The 14816-nt window shown below is 40.2% G+C and overlaps 1 protein-coding gene across 22 annotated transcripts in view, besides 1 other annotated feature; it reads left to right on the top strand.

Moving 5' to 3' along the window:
* Positions 1-14816, top strand: part of RHOT1 (ras homolog family member T1) — an 83226-nt gene that overhangs the window by 37391 nt on the left and 31019 nt on the right. For all 22 annotated transcript variants that reach the window (NR_110083.2, NM_001288758.2, NM_001033567.3 and 19 more), the window contains 5 exons: positions 2865-2973; positions 3279-3380; positions 12309-12407; positions 13244-13352; positions 14095-14215. Coding sequence is in view for 21 of the 22 variants with exons in the window: in NM_001033568.3 (NP_001028740.1) it covers positions 2865-2973; positions 3279-3380; positions 12309-12407; positions 13244-13352; positions 14095-14215 (540 nt within the window). In the remaining variant the exon portion in view is untranslated. The remainder of the gene's footprint in view (positions 1-2864; positions 2974-3278; positions 3381-12308; positions 12408-13243; positions 13353-14094; positions 14216-14816) is intronic.
* Positions 279-803: an enhancer, noted in NCBI's record as "NANOG hESC enhancer chr17:30507190-30507714 (GRCh37/hg19 assembly coordinates)". NCBI's record gives its function as "activates a minimal SCP1, AML or CMV promoter by ChIP-STARR-seq in primed H9 embryonic stem cells {active_cell/tissue: H9 hESC(primed)}" and the evidence as "EXISTENCE:reporter gene assay evidence [ECO:0000049][PMID:30033119]".

Below are 14816 nucleotides of genomic sequence, written 5' to 3' on the forward strand. Positions count from 1 at the left end.
GGCCACCCCATCTGGGAAGTGAGGAGCGCCTCTGCCCAGCTGACACCCCATCTGGGATGTGAGGAGCACCTCTGCCCGGCCGCCCCGTCTGGGAAGTGAGGAGCGCCTCTGCCCGGCCGCCCCGTCTGGGAAGTGAGGAGCGTCTCTGCCCAGCCACCCATCGTCTGGGATGTGAGGAGCGCCTCTGCCCGGCCACCCTGTCTGGGAAGTGAGGAGCACCTCTGCCCGGCCGCCCTATCTGGGAGGTGTACCCAATAGCTCCGAAGAGACAGCGACCATCGAGAACGGGCCATGATGACGATGGCGGTTTTGTCGAAAAGAAAAGGGGGAAATGTGGGGAAAAGAAAGAGAGATCAGATTGTTACTGTGTCTGTGTAGAAAGAAGTAGATATAGGAGACTCCATTTTGTTCTGTACTTAGAAAAATTCTTCTGCCTTGGGATGCTGTTAATCTATAACCTTACCCCCAACCCTGTGCTCTCTGAAACATGTGCTGTGTCAACTCAGGGTTAAATGGATTAAGGGCAGTGCAAGATGTGCTTTGTTAAACAGATGCTTGAAGGCAGCATGCTCGTTAAGAGTCATCACCACTCCCTAATCTCAAGTACCCAGGGACACAAACACTGTGTAGGAAAACCAGAGACCTTTGTTCACATGTTTATCTGCTGACCTTCTCTCCACTATTATCCTATGACCCTGCCACATCCCCCTCTCCGAGAAACACCCAAGAATGATCAATAAACATTAAAAAAAAAAGTACAAGAAAAAAAAAAAGAAATAATAAATGCTTATTTTTGTTTTAAGCCAAAAAAAAAAAAAAAAAAAAGAGGGCAGTTTTGCTAAGATCTATCAATCTATCAAGCACCAGCTTGGACCACTGAATTAAACAATTTTGGCTTTACCATGACAGCTTCCCAAGTAGCTGGGACTGCAAGTGCGTGCCATCACACCTGGCTAATTTTTAAAAAACTTTTGTAGAAACAGGGTCTCACTATGTTATCCAGGATAGTTTTGAGCTCCTGGTCTCAAGCAGTCCTTCCGCCTTGGCCTCCCAAAGTGCTGAAATTACAGGCGTGAGCCACTGATGCACACCTTTGGTTACAAACCACTACATTTTTGGAAACCCTCCTGGTTCTGGTAGGAATTTATATTTGGGCTATATGGTGGTCGGTCTTTTCAAGCATAATGGCACACCAAGGGTTAGGTAAGCTAAATGCTTTCAAGTGCTTCTCTTGCAGTCTAGAGTTCCAGCAGGATGATTTGCTTTCCCTCCAAGCTCTCTTGCAGGATTCACAACAGTTCTCCACTAGGTTGGTCCTCCTTAATATCCCCATTAAGATTTTTCCCCACAGACTTATCAGATTTAACTTGTCTAAAAGAAAATCTTTAATTCCCTGCCTACTCGCTGCCAAAAACAGAAACAAAAAATCATTCTTAATCTTCTGTATCTTCTGAGATCTACCCATTTTTTTCCAGCCAAAACCTAAATATTTTTCTTGGTTTCTGCTTTTCCCTCAATCTTCACATCTAACCTATCAGCTGTTTCTGTCTTATAAAATATATCTGAAATTTGAATATTTTCCTTTTCATCTTTACTGTCACTGTCACTAGTCCAAGTTACTATTATATTTTTTAAAATTTTCACTAAGAAATTTTTAAAAATTTGTTAGTGATAGTGAAAAAATGTAACATATACTGAGGTACATACCTGTTATCCAGCTTCAACAATTAACTCATGGCCAGTCTTGTTTCATCTATTACCCCTCCCATTGAGATCATTTTGAAGCAAATAGAGACATTATTTTCATGCTGTATTTCAGTATGTAGCTCTAAAAATCACTGCATTTAAAAATGTTAACCCCCTTCTTAGAATCATTCAATGACTTCCCATTTTACACTAACAATAAAACCTACACTCCTTACTGCAGCTTGTAAGTCCTTATGTGTCTGACCTTTGATCCTCTTTCTAACCCCATTTTATACCTTTTTCTCTTTACTCAGTACTCTGTAGCCATTCTGGCATTTTCCTGTTGTTTGGCCCCATCAGGATGTTTTTTCAGTTTGGGGCCTTTGCACATGCTGTTCCTTCCTCCTCGCTTGCTCTTCCCTGACTCTACATGGCAGATTTCATCTTATCCTTCACCCCTTGGCTCAAATGTCACCTTTACATAGGGAGTTTTCCTTAATTACTATACATAACTAGCTCCTTCCCACTACTCTATCCCCCTATTTATTTCCTGCATAGTACTTACTGAATTGGAAATTATTTTATTTGCTTATTGCTCATTTTCTGTTTTTCACTATTGGAATGATCAGGTTTATAGATCTGCCCAGGCATAGTAGCTCATACCTATCATCCCAACACTTTGGGAGGCCAGAAGTTTGAGACTAGCCTAGGCAATATAGCTAGACCCTTCTCTACAAAAAAAAAAAATTTTTTTTTAATTTGCTGGATGTGGTGGCTTGTGCCTATAGTCCTAGCTACTAGGGAGGCTAGGGCAAGTGGATCACTTGAGCATAGGAATTTGAGGTTGCAGTGAGCTGTGATCCTGCCACTGCACTCCAGCCTGGACAACAGAGCTAGACCCTGTCTCAAGAAAACAAAAAACAAAACAGAATGGGTAGGACCTTCTGTCTTGTGTCCTTAATACTTAAAGCAGTATGTGGCTTATAATAGGTGCTCAATAGATAACATGTTGAGTAAATACGTGCTATCTAGGGGGCTCAACCTGACTGTAGAGAAAGGTTCATGTTGTTGAGAAGATTAAATAAAAGCTTTTTAGTTAGAATGGGTTATGATATAAATTAAAATATAAATTTAATGTCTTTTGCCTTCCTTATTACAATGTGCCCTGTTTATTTTAGGCTGCCTTTAATATTGGTTGGGAACAAATCTGATCTGGTGGAATATAGTAGTATGGAGACCATCCTTCCTATTATGAACCAGTATACAGAAATAGAAACCTGTGTGGAGGTATGCCTTGTAATTTGATTTGAAAATTTATTTTTAATGAATTCTTACTAAATTCGGGTTTTAAATAGGGGGGACAATGTGGGATGGAATAAATTTCCTGCTATTTGTGAAGTCACGTAAACCAAATAAAACAGAGAAGTTGGAGTTGGCCTCTGAACTCTTTCTAGACATTCATGTTGTGATGTCCACAAAGATGCATTTTTCGTTTTTTTTCAAGGAATCTTTTTTTTGCCTTATGTTGATAATTTGAAAATTGTTTTTAGCTCTCATAATTGATTTCAGAGTGTAAAATTTTATTTTTTCAGTGTTCAGCGAAAAACCTGAAGAACATATCAGAGCTCTTTTATTACGCACAGAAAGCTGTTCTTCATCCTACAGGGCCCCTGTACTGCCCAGAGGAGAAGGAGGTAACAGGCTGTGTTTATAGGGGCTGGAATGTGTATGTAGTAACTCTAGTATGGTAGTGATTTTTAGTAACTCTTAAGTATTTGTGTAGAGATTAAACTGCTGAAATTTAAATTTATTGCTTATTAAATGGTTACATTTTGGTACTCTTCTTCAATGACATTCACATTAAATATTCGTAATATTTTCCACATCAATGGAATCTAATCAAGTACTGCTTCAGGAAGTGCCATTAAAACAAACAAGAATTGGCAACAATAACAACAAAAAAGTCCTCCAAAGACTTAGCTAATGGTCTTCTTGTTTTGCTACTATAAAATCTACAAACTGAAAAACACACACAAATAAAAACATTATGTAGTTTTTTGACATAGGCACAATGTAATACAATGTGACTACTACTTTTGTTTTTGTTTTTTTTCTTTTGAGACAGAATCTTGCTCTGTCACTCAGGCTGGAGTGCAGTGGCACGATCTCGATCTCGGCTGACTGCAACCTCCAGCTCCGGGGTTCAAGTGATTCTCATGCCTCAGCCTGCCAAAGTGGCTGGGATCACAGGCATGCGCCACCATGCCTGGCTAATTTTTGTATTTTTAGTAGAGACAGGGTTTCACCATATTGCCCAGGCTGATCTCGAACTCCTGACCTCAAGTGATCCGCCTGCCTGGGCCTCCCAAAGTGCCGGGATTACAGGCGTGAGCCACTGCGCCCAGCCCCTTTTGTTTTATAGCTAAGAAACACAGTAACTCCTTATTGAAATATCCAAAATTTAATATTTTGCCATAGACATTGAAAAACTAAATTTTTTTGAGATATATCTCAAGTACCTTAAAATTCATCCTTTTAAAGTTGTACTATTCCGTGGTTTTTAGTGTATTCACAAAGTTATGCAATCATCACCACTGTCTAATTTCAGAACATTTCATCACCCCAAAGAGAAACCCTGTACCTATTAGCAGTCACTCCCTATTGTCCCGTTACTCAGCCCCTGGCCACCACCAGTCTACCTTCTGTCTCTGTGGATTTGCCTCTTCTGGACATTTTATATAAATGGACTCATACCATATGTGACCTTTTGTTTCTGGCTTCTTTTACTTAGCGTAATATTTCCATGGTATATCCACATTGTAGCATGTATCAGTATTTCATTTCTTTTTATGGCCCGATAATCATTTTATGGATAAACCATGTTTTTGGTGGGTTTTATTTTTTTTATTTTTTATTTTTTTTTATTTTTTGAGGCAGAGTCTCATTCTGTCACCCAGGCTGGAGAGCAGTGGTGTGATCACAGCTCACTGCAGCCTCAAGCTCCTGGGCTCAAGTGATCCTCCTGCCTTAGCCTCTCGAGTAGCTAGGACTGTAGGCATTCGCCACCGTGCCCAGCTGATTTTTTTTACTTTTATTTTTTGTAAAGACAGGGTTTCGCCATGTTGCCCAGGCTGGTCTCAAACTCCTGGGCTCAGGCAGTCTTCCCGCCTCCACCTCTGCCTCCAAGAGTGCTGGGATTACAGGTGTGAGCCACCGCACCTGGCTGGATACATCATATTTAGTTTATCCCCATATCTGTTGATGCATATTGAGTAGTTTCTACTTTTAGGCTATTACGAATAGACTGTTGTAAACATTCAATACAAGTTTTTGTTTGAACACTTGTTTGCTTTTTTTTTGAAGACAGAGTCTTGCTCTGTCACCCAGGCTGGGGTGCAGTGACATGATTACAGCTTATTATAACCTCAAATTCCTGGCTCAAGCAATCATCCCACCTAAACCTCTCAAGTAGCTGGGACTATAGGCACATACCACCATGCCTGGCTAGTTTTTCTTTTTCTTTTCTTTTTTCTTTTTCTTTTGTTTTTTGAGACGGAGTTTCGCTCTTGTTGCCCAGGCTGGAGTGCAATGGTGCGATCTCTGTGCACCACAACCTCCGCCTCCCAGGTTCAAGTGATTCTCCTGCCTCAGCCTTCCAAGTAGCTGGAATGATAGGCATGCGCCACTACACCCTACTAATTTTGTATTTTTAATAGTTATGGGGTTTCTCTATGTTGGTCAGGCTGGTCTTGAACACCCAACCTCAGGTGATCCTCCTGCCTCAGCCTCCCAAAGTGCTGGAATTATAGGCGTGAACTACTGCTCCTGGCCTACTCTCCTTTTTTTTGGGTCAGGGCCTTACTCTATCGCCCAGGCTAGAGTGCAGTAGCACAATCACAGCTCACTGCCCCCTCGACTTCCTGGCTTCAACGATCCTCCCACCTCAGCCTCCCAAATAGTTGGGATCACACCTGTGTGCCACCATACCCAGCTAATTTTTGTATTTTTAGTAGAAGATGGGGTTTCACCATGTTGCCCAGGTTGGTCTTAAACTCCTAGGCTCAAGCAATGCACCCGCCTTGGCCTCCCAAAGTGTTGGGATTACAGGTGTGAACCGCCATGCCCGGCCTCTTTTTTTTTTTTTTTTTTTTTTAAATTTAGAGACAAGATCTTACTTTGTGGCCCAGGCTGGAGCACAGTGGTGTGATCATAGCTCACTGCGGCCTCAAACTCCAAGGCTCAGGCCATCCTCCCACCTCAGCCTCCTGAGTAGTTGGGACTACAGGCACATGCCACCGTGCCCAGCTAATTTTTAAATTTTCTAGTAAAGTCAGGATCTCACTATGTTGCCCAGGCTGGTCTCAAACTCCTGGCTCAAGCAATTCTCCCATCTCAAGCCTCTCAGAGTGCTGGCATTACAGGCATGACCCAACACTCCTGGCCTGTTTTAAATTCTTTTGAGTACATTTAGTAGTTGAATTGCTGAGTCACATGGTAATTGTATATTTGACATACGGAGGAACCAGCAGCTATTTTACACAATGACTGGACCATTTTACATTCCCACCAGCAGTGTATGAAGGTTCCAGTTCCTCCACATCTTTGCCACACTTGTTATTTTACTTTTCTTTTTTGGTTTATTATAGCCATCCTAGTAGATGTGGTTGGGATCTCATTGTTTTGATTTGCATTTCCCTGATGGCTAATGATGTTGTGTAATTTTTCATGTGCTTATTGGCCATCTTCTTTGGAGAAACGTCTATTGCCTATTCAAAGTCCTTTCCCATTTTTTTTTTTTTTTTTGAGACGGAGTCTTGCTCTGTCGCCCAGGCTGGAGTCCAGTGGCACAATCTCGGCTCACTGCAAACTTCACCTCCTGGGTTCACACCATTCTCCTGCTTCAGCCTCCCGGGTAGCTGGAACTACAGGCGCCCACCACCACGCCCGGCTAATTTTTTTTGTATTTTTAGTAGAGACGGGGTTTCACTGTGTTAGCCAGGATGGTCTTGATCTCCTGACCTCGTGATCCGCCCGCCTCGGCCCCCCAAAGTGCTGGGATTACAGGCGTGAGCCACTGCGCCCGGCCCCCATTTTTGTTTTAAAGAGACAGGGTCTCACCATCATCCAGGCTGGAGTACAGTGGCATGATCATGGCTCACTGCAGCCTTAACCTCCTGGATTCAAGCAGTCCTCCCACTCAGCCTCCTAAGTAGCTGGGACTACAGGTGCATGCCACCACACACAGCTAATTTTTAATTTTTTTTGTAAAGAGGGGGTCTCGCTGAGTTGCCCAAGGTGGTCTTGAACTTCTAGCCTCAAACAGTCCTTCTGCCCCAGCTTTTCGAGTAGCTGCCTTTGCCCGCTTTTTAGTTGGGTTGTCTTTTTTTAAATTATTATTAAAGGTAATTTTTATTTTAAGAAGCGGGGGCCGGGTGCAGTGGCTCATGCCTGTAATCCCAGCACTTTGGGAGGCTGAGGCAGGGGGATCACTTGAAGCCAGGAGTTCGAGACCAGCGTGGCCAACGTGGCAAAACCCTGTCTCTACTAAAAATACAAAAGTTAGCTGGGCATATTGGCGCATACCTGTAATCCCAGCTACTCGGGAGGCTGAGGCACGAGAATCATTTGAATCTGGGAGGTGGAGGTTGCAGTGAGCTGAGATTGCACCACTGCACTCCAGCCTGGGCTACAGATTGAGACTCTGTCTCAAAAAAAGAAAGAAAGAAACAGGTCCTTGCTATATTGCCCAGGCTGGTCTTGAACTCCTGGCCTCCTCCTGCCTCAGCCTCCTGAGTAGCTGGGATTACAGGTGTGAGTCACCACACCACCACACCCAGCTTGAGGTGATTGCTTTGATTCTGTTTGTCGGGAGAGGTATTGTTTTTAAGAATAAAAAGTTGCAGATATCTTTCAGGAAAAGTTTATAGTATAAGTGAGTGGTTAGCAATGACTCATGGCCTACCACCTATTTTCACAGTCTGTACACTAAGGAAACATTTTATATTTTTATTTATTTATTTATTTGAGATGGAGTCTCGCTCTGTTGCCCACGTTGGAGTGCAGTGGTGTGATCTCAGCTCACTGGGTTCAGGTGATTCTCCTGCCTCAGCCTCCCAAGTAGCTGGGACTACGGGCATGTGCCACCACATCCAGCTAATTTTTGTATTTTTGGTAGAGACGGGGTTTCACCATGTTGGCCAGGCTGGTCTCGAACTCCTGACCTTAGGTGATCTGCCTGCCTTGGCCTTTCAAAGTGCAGGGATTACAGGTGTGAACCACTGTGCCTGGCCATATATTTTTAAATGATTGAAAAAAGTCAAATAATATTTTGTGATAGGTGAAAATTATATTACATTCAAATTTTATCATTTCATAAAAATAAAGTTTGATTGTAACATAGCCATGGTCATTCTTTTATGTTATCTGTGGCTGTTTGTGTGCTGCAAAGGCAAAGTTTAATAGTTTCAATAGAGCTTATATGTGCTACTCTCATCTCTTCTCACTGCTGCTGAGTGCACTACTAATTGCGCTGACACACTAGACAGCATTTCAAGTACTATGTATATCACTCTACCAGGACCTTTTATTTATATTCATTGCATACTCATCATGCCAAAGCATGAAAAGAATAATAAAGTGTTTTTTAGATGGGAAAGCAGATAAATATTCCAGGTTCAAATTACAGTTCCAGCATCATCTTTTTAGACCTTGATGCAAATGCAAAGGAAATTTCCATATTTTGTAATCCACTTAACTATGCAATTGAGTTTCCATTAACCTTCAATTGGAATTGATTAATCTGCAGTGTAATGACATGCTAAAAGGCAAACATCAAGAAAATAATCAAATATAATTTTATAAATACCTTGTGCTCTATAAAGTCATAGGTTTGTGGATATGTACCAGTATTGGCAGTATATATTTGTGCAAAGAGACATTTTCAAAGATGGGACATGTAAAATCTCATTACAGATCAGCATTAACATATAAACATTTGCAATTAATTTTCATGGTGGACAACACTAACTTCAAACCCCAACAAAGCAAAATGTTTTCCTTCCAAAAAGAATTTCATTCTTCTCATTAATAAATCTGTATTGCAAAACTGTACTCAGTTATATTTTGAGTTTTGTCAAAAAAACTTTGTAGAAGTTTGATTTCTTTCTTACTATGTAAGTACCTACATGACATGCTTGATTTTGCCTGTTGGCCCCAAAGCCTAAAATATTTGCTATGTGGTCCTTTACAGAAAATGTGCCAACTCCTGGTATAAATAATTAATTTGAGTTATCCCTTAATCTGGTGCTAGTTTACTCTTATTCCTGGTTTACTTTTCCTTAGTTAGGATTCTTCTTTCTAATTTACTCCGAATCCAGTATTTCCCAAACTTACCTCATCGTAATAGTCACTAAGTGTTACTTGTTAAAAACATAGATTCTGGCCGGGCAAAGTGGTTCACGCATGTAATCCCAGCACTTTGGGAGGCCAAGGCGGGTGGATCATGAGGTAGGATATCGAGACCATCCTGGCTAAGATGGTGAAACCCCGTCTCTACTAAAAATACAAAAAAATTAGCTGGGCGTGGTGGCGGGCACCTGTAGCCCTAGCTACTTAGGAGGCTGAGGCAGGAGAATGGCATGAACCCAGGAGACGGAGCTTGCAGTGAGCCGAGATCGTGCCACTGCACTCCAGCCTGGGCGACAGAGCGAGGAGACCCCACCTCAAGAAAAAAACAAAACAAAAAACAACAAAAAAACACATAGATTCCATTCTGATTCAGCTAGGTGTTGTATTTATGATACAGGAAATTTGGGAAACAGTCTTAATACTGTGGGAACTCTTACAAGAATTTACCTCTGAGGCCTTAGCCTAGCAGTATATGAAATCCCCTCTATTAGTTTGTTCTCAGTTTTTTAATTGTTACTTTGTTCTCGGGCCTGTTATTAGTTCTGCTAATCTGTTAATCCCTCATCCCCACCCCCATCCCACAAGAGTAAAATATCTACCACCATCTGTTACTCAGTTCTTAGGTGGACCTGAGTGAGAGGTAAAATTTTCAACTTTTAAACTATACCTTGTTTTACACAAGTGCAAACTTTAAATTGCCTATAACGGAATCTTTTATTTAGACAACAACAATATCTTTTCTTTTCTTTTCTTTTTTTTTTTTTTTTTTGAGATGGAGTCTCTGTCTCCCAGGGTGGAGTGCAATGGCACGATCTCAGCTCACTGCAACCTCCGCCTCCCAGGTTCACATGATTCTCCTGCCTCAGCCTCCCAAGTAGCTGGGATTACAGGGATGCACCACCATGCCTGGCTAATTTTTGTATTTTTAGTAGAGATGGGGCTAGCCTGGTCTCAAACTCCTGGCCTCAAGTAATTTGCTCGCCTTGGCTTCCCGAAAGTGTGTGAGCCACCACGCCCAGCCAAATACCATAATTTTTTATAGCTTTATTAAGTAGAATTTTTAATACTTTTTAGTAGTCCTTTTTTGGTGTTACATTTTCAGGTGGTTAGTTTTTAAATATGACATTGGGCCAATACCTTAGAGCTCTTTAGCTTTGCATTTCAAGCTTTAATGAAAAGTGCATCGTTGGCCGGGCGCAATGGATCATGCCTGTAATCCCAGCACTTTGGGGGGCCGAGGCAGGCAGATCATGAGGTTAGGAGATCGAGACCATCCTGGCTAACATGGTGAAACCCCGTCTCTACTAAAAATGTGAAAAATTAGCTGGGCATGGTGGCAGGTGCCTATAGACCCAGCTACTCGGGAGACTGAGGCAGGAGAATCGCTTGAACCTGGGAGGCAGAGGTTGCAGTGAGCCAAGATCGCACAACTGCACTCCAGCCTAGGCGACAGAGCAAGATTCTGTCTCAAAAAAAAAAGGAGAAAAGTGCATTGTTTATTTTTCTTAAAATTACTTTTTGAAAATGTATCCCTTTATTATGTGAGGAAAAATCACTTAGACAAAATAAAAGATTAGGTTCTGTTTTGTATATTCTTGCTATTGCTTCTTTTGGAAACATTTAAATTATTAAACTTTTTTAAAAGGAGAGTAAATAAAATATAACAATGTAGTTTTTATTAATCTTTAATGACTAACAGGATCACATTTATAGAAGCATTATCTTACCATTCATTATTTTAAAGAATAAATCATGTGTGATTATAGATGTTATAGTCCATTTAGTACTCTTTTATAAGGGAAGCCCCGTCAGATGCTTTCTTTTTTTTGAGACGGAGTCTTTCTTTGTCTCCCAGACTGGAGTGCAGTGATGGAATATCGGCTCACTGCAACCTCTGCCTCCCGGGTTCAAGCGATTCTCCTGCCTCAGCCTCCCAAGTACTGGGACTACAGGCACATGCCACCACACCCAGCTAACTTTTGTATTTTTAGTAGAGACAGGGTTTCGCCATGTTAGCCAGGCTGGTCTCGAACTCTTGATCTCAGGTGATCTGCACTCCTCGGCCTCCCAAAGTGCTGGGATTATAAGTGTGAGCCACCGCGCCCAGCCTCAAATGCTTTCTAAATGTTTGACTTCTTTTTCTCGTTTCTTTCTCTTTGTATCTTAAGTTTTATCTTTTTCTCACTATATCAAATTACTCTCCCAGAGACCCCATTTAAAACAAGAATAGAAGGGGTTAACTGTGTATGTTTGGAAGATAATTATTTTCTTTCCTATTTTTTAAAGAATTTCTTTTCTGCATTTGAGTTTGATAGCATGATCAAAGCTGTCATCATTACCATTTTGTAAGTTAATAAGTTTATATTTCCTCACCTTGACATCTCATTTCTCTGATTTAGATGATCTAAATAAAGATCTATCTCCAAGCTTAGACAAAAGTCAGAGCTCTCCTTGAAGTTTTATTCTCAAAATTGTTGATAGTGATTACCCTATAGTGGTTATACAGTGTAGAAGCATGTGGGCCTTATTTTAAAATAGTCATATATTTATTCTATCCATGATGAATCATAAAACAAAAATGAAGGAAATTGTCAGAATATATTTCCAGCAGCATTAGTCATAAAAGTTTTAGAGTCACAAAAGGCAAAATTCTTTTTAAAGTATAAATAATTCTTATACTAGGAAGTTAGTAAAAATTTTTTACACTTATTAACCAGTGATAATTTTGCCACTTGTTTGTGAATAAGCGTATTTTATTTCCCAGCTTTAACATACACACAGGGGAAAGATCAAAACAAATCTCATTCTGCTACCAGAAGTCTGATGATCAGAAATCAGAAGTTGAGGGGAAAGTCCTTAGTAGTTTTAAAAGTCAGTTCATATCCTCTATGGAATGAGGGAAGATATAAATAAATAAACAGTTCTTCTTTCTGTGACTAGAAAAATGAATCCCTCCTAAAGATGAACTTCTCTTTTCCCTGTTCTTAGAGGATTTGTGGTCTTAAGGGGAGAGCTTGACCATTCCAAATATCAGTCCCAGCAAATATTGCCTCATTTACTTAAAAAGGCTTGCATATAAAGTAAATGGCTTTGCTTTAGTTCATTTTTCCATGTTGGTTGTATTTGATATTATGTAAAAATAATCAGAATTATTCTCAGCATTGCTTATGAAAATCACAGTTTAAACAATTATTTCTTTTCTCAATGATTTATAGATGAAACCAGCTTGTATAAAAGCCCTTACTCGTATATTTAAAATATCTGATCAAGATAATGATGGTACTCTCAATGATGCTGAACTCAACTTCTTTCAGGTAATGGTCCTTTATTTCAGACATTTGCGTATCTTTTTTTTTTTTTTTTTTTTTGCTGAAAGCTGTAAAATGTGTTAGCTTAAACAACAAGAACAGTATGTTATAAACATAAGTTTCTTTCTCATAAAACTATCTTTCACATCAACCTATATATGCCTAAACTCTCTTATGCTCAGGAATTGAGGGGATTCTGATAGCTTCATTTTATGGTATAAAGTGGGTGTGTTAAGGATGACTTGGAGTCTGAACTCTGAATCATTTTGCTTTCTTGGTTTTGAATAACATAGCTACAGAAAGAGCCCTGTGTTTTAGAAACAGGATGGAGGGAGTTGGGAATGTTTCTTTCTAAGAATGACATGTTTTACTTTTTTTTTTTTTTTTTTTGTTTTTGAGATAGAGTCTCGCTCTGTCACCCAGGCTGTAGTGCAATGGCGCCATCTCGGCTCACTGCAACCTCCGCTGCCCGGGTTCAAGCGATTCTCCTGCCTCAGCCTCCCAAGTAGCTAGGACTACAGGCATGCGCCACAACACCCAGCTAATTTTTGTATTTTTAGTAGAGACGGGGTTTCACCATGTTGGCCAGGGTGGACTCGATCTCCTCGTGATCCGCCTGCCTCAGCCTCCCAAAGTGCTGGGATTACAGGCGTGAGCCACTGCACCCAGCCCATGTTTTACTTAAATAATACATTTAAAAAAGTGGTGACTATTCCTAATGTAGAATATGTTTCTTTGGTTGCAATTCATGGATTTAATATTGCTTTGTAGATTATCATTTTATATTATTTGTGGTTTTAACGCTGGTTTGTTTTTAAATATATTTTTATGTTTTTTGCTAGAGGATTTGTTTCAACACTCCATTAGCTCCTCAAGCTCTGGAGGATGTCAAGAATGTAGTCAGAAAACATATAAGTGATGGTGTGGCTGACAGTGGGTTGACCCTGAAAGGTGGGTAAATGGTATTTTTCCCCCTTTTGAAACTTAATATTTTCAAAATTTGGCAGAAGGTGAAGGTCTTTATTGCATTATTTATACTTTAAGGAAATGTTAATATTTACTAGTATGCCTAAAGTCTGATTTGGATATTTATGAGTTGGGAGGGACAGGCCATTGTTGGGGATTATCATCTTTACTACCAATATAAATTAGAGGTAGGGAAATTGGTTGGATCTCAAGGATACAGAGGTCCACCTGATGGAAGGAGATATCTGGAACAAAAAAAAAGTATCTTAAAATTCTTCCTACTCATAAACAGCCTTTAAATAGTCATTATTTTTAGGGAATTTTGTCTATGAGTCAAATTTACCAGTATAGAATGTTCCCTGGAGAATATATTATAGAGGCACAGTGAAGTTAATGAGATTGAAAACCAGAATTTTCCATGACAAAAATAAGCTCAAAGATCTGTAGAACACTACTCTCATATAACTTTGTGCATGTCAGTATATTCCTTGAGATGCAATGTTGGCCATTTCCTCTAGTGCTCTCTCTTGCTGAGCTGGGTGTATATGTGAAACAATTCTGAAATCAGCTCTGTTTCATTGAGATACTTGTGAATTTTGTTTTGTTTTGAGCTTTACAATGCAAAGCTAGCATCCGTATGTTCATGAATCTGGTTCTTGCCATTATGTTACATGCTTTTCTCCTATGTGACTCTGTACACTTTATTTACTAATTTACTTTATTTCAGGTTTTCTCTTTTTACACACACTTTTTATCCAGAGAGGGAGACACGAAACTACTTGGACTGTGCTTCGACGATTTGGTTATGATGATGACCTGGATTTGACACCTGAATATTTGTTCCCCCTGTATGTACCTTTGTTTTTTTTGTTGTTGTTGTTGTTTAATTTTTTATTGAGACAGGATCTCACTATGTTTCCCAGGCTGGTCTTGAACTCCTGAGTCAAGTGATCCTCCCACCTTGGCCTCCCAAATTGCTGTGATTAAAGGCATTGAGCCATGCCCAGTCACCTTTGGTTTTGTAATGATTTTACTTGTTAAATATTTTTAAGGTTGATTTAGCACACATGGGGAGGTGGGCTTCAAGCTAATTGGGAATATTTTAGAATTATAGCAGAGCTTTATAGCAGGATTTCTCAACCTCAGCACTATTGGCATTTTGGACCAGAAAATTTTTTGTTGTGGATGTCCTGTGCAGTATAGGATCTTTACCACATCCGTAGATGTCAGTGACACTTCCAGTTGTGACAACCAAAACTGTTGAGAAATTGCCGAATGTACCCTCTGAAGTGAAATTATCCCCAGTTGAGAACCACTGATTCCCTCATGGCTCAAACTTTTCCTCTTCTTGTCGAGACTACAAGTATCTTTTTTTGTTCATTTTACTGAGGAAGGAAAAATAAGATGCTAGACAACAAACTTGTTTTGGGAGTCAAGAGATCTCAGAAA

The sequence above is a fragment of the Homo sapiens genome, chromosome 17, assembly GCF_000001405.40.
Source record: "Homo sapiens chromosome 17, GRCh38.p14 Primary Assembly".
Classification (NCBI taxonomy): Eukaryota; Metazoa; Chordata; class Mammalia; order Primates; family Hominidae; genus Homo; species Homo sapiens.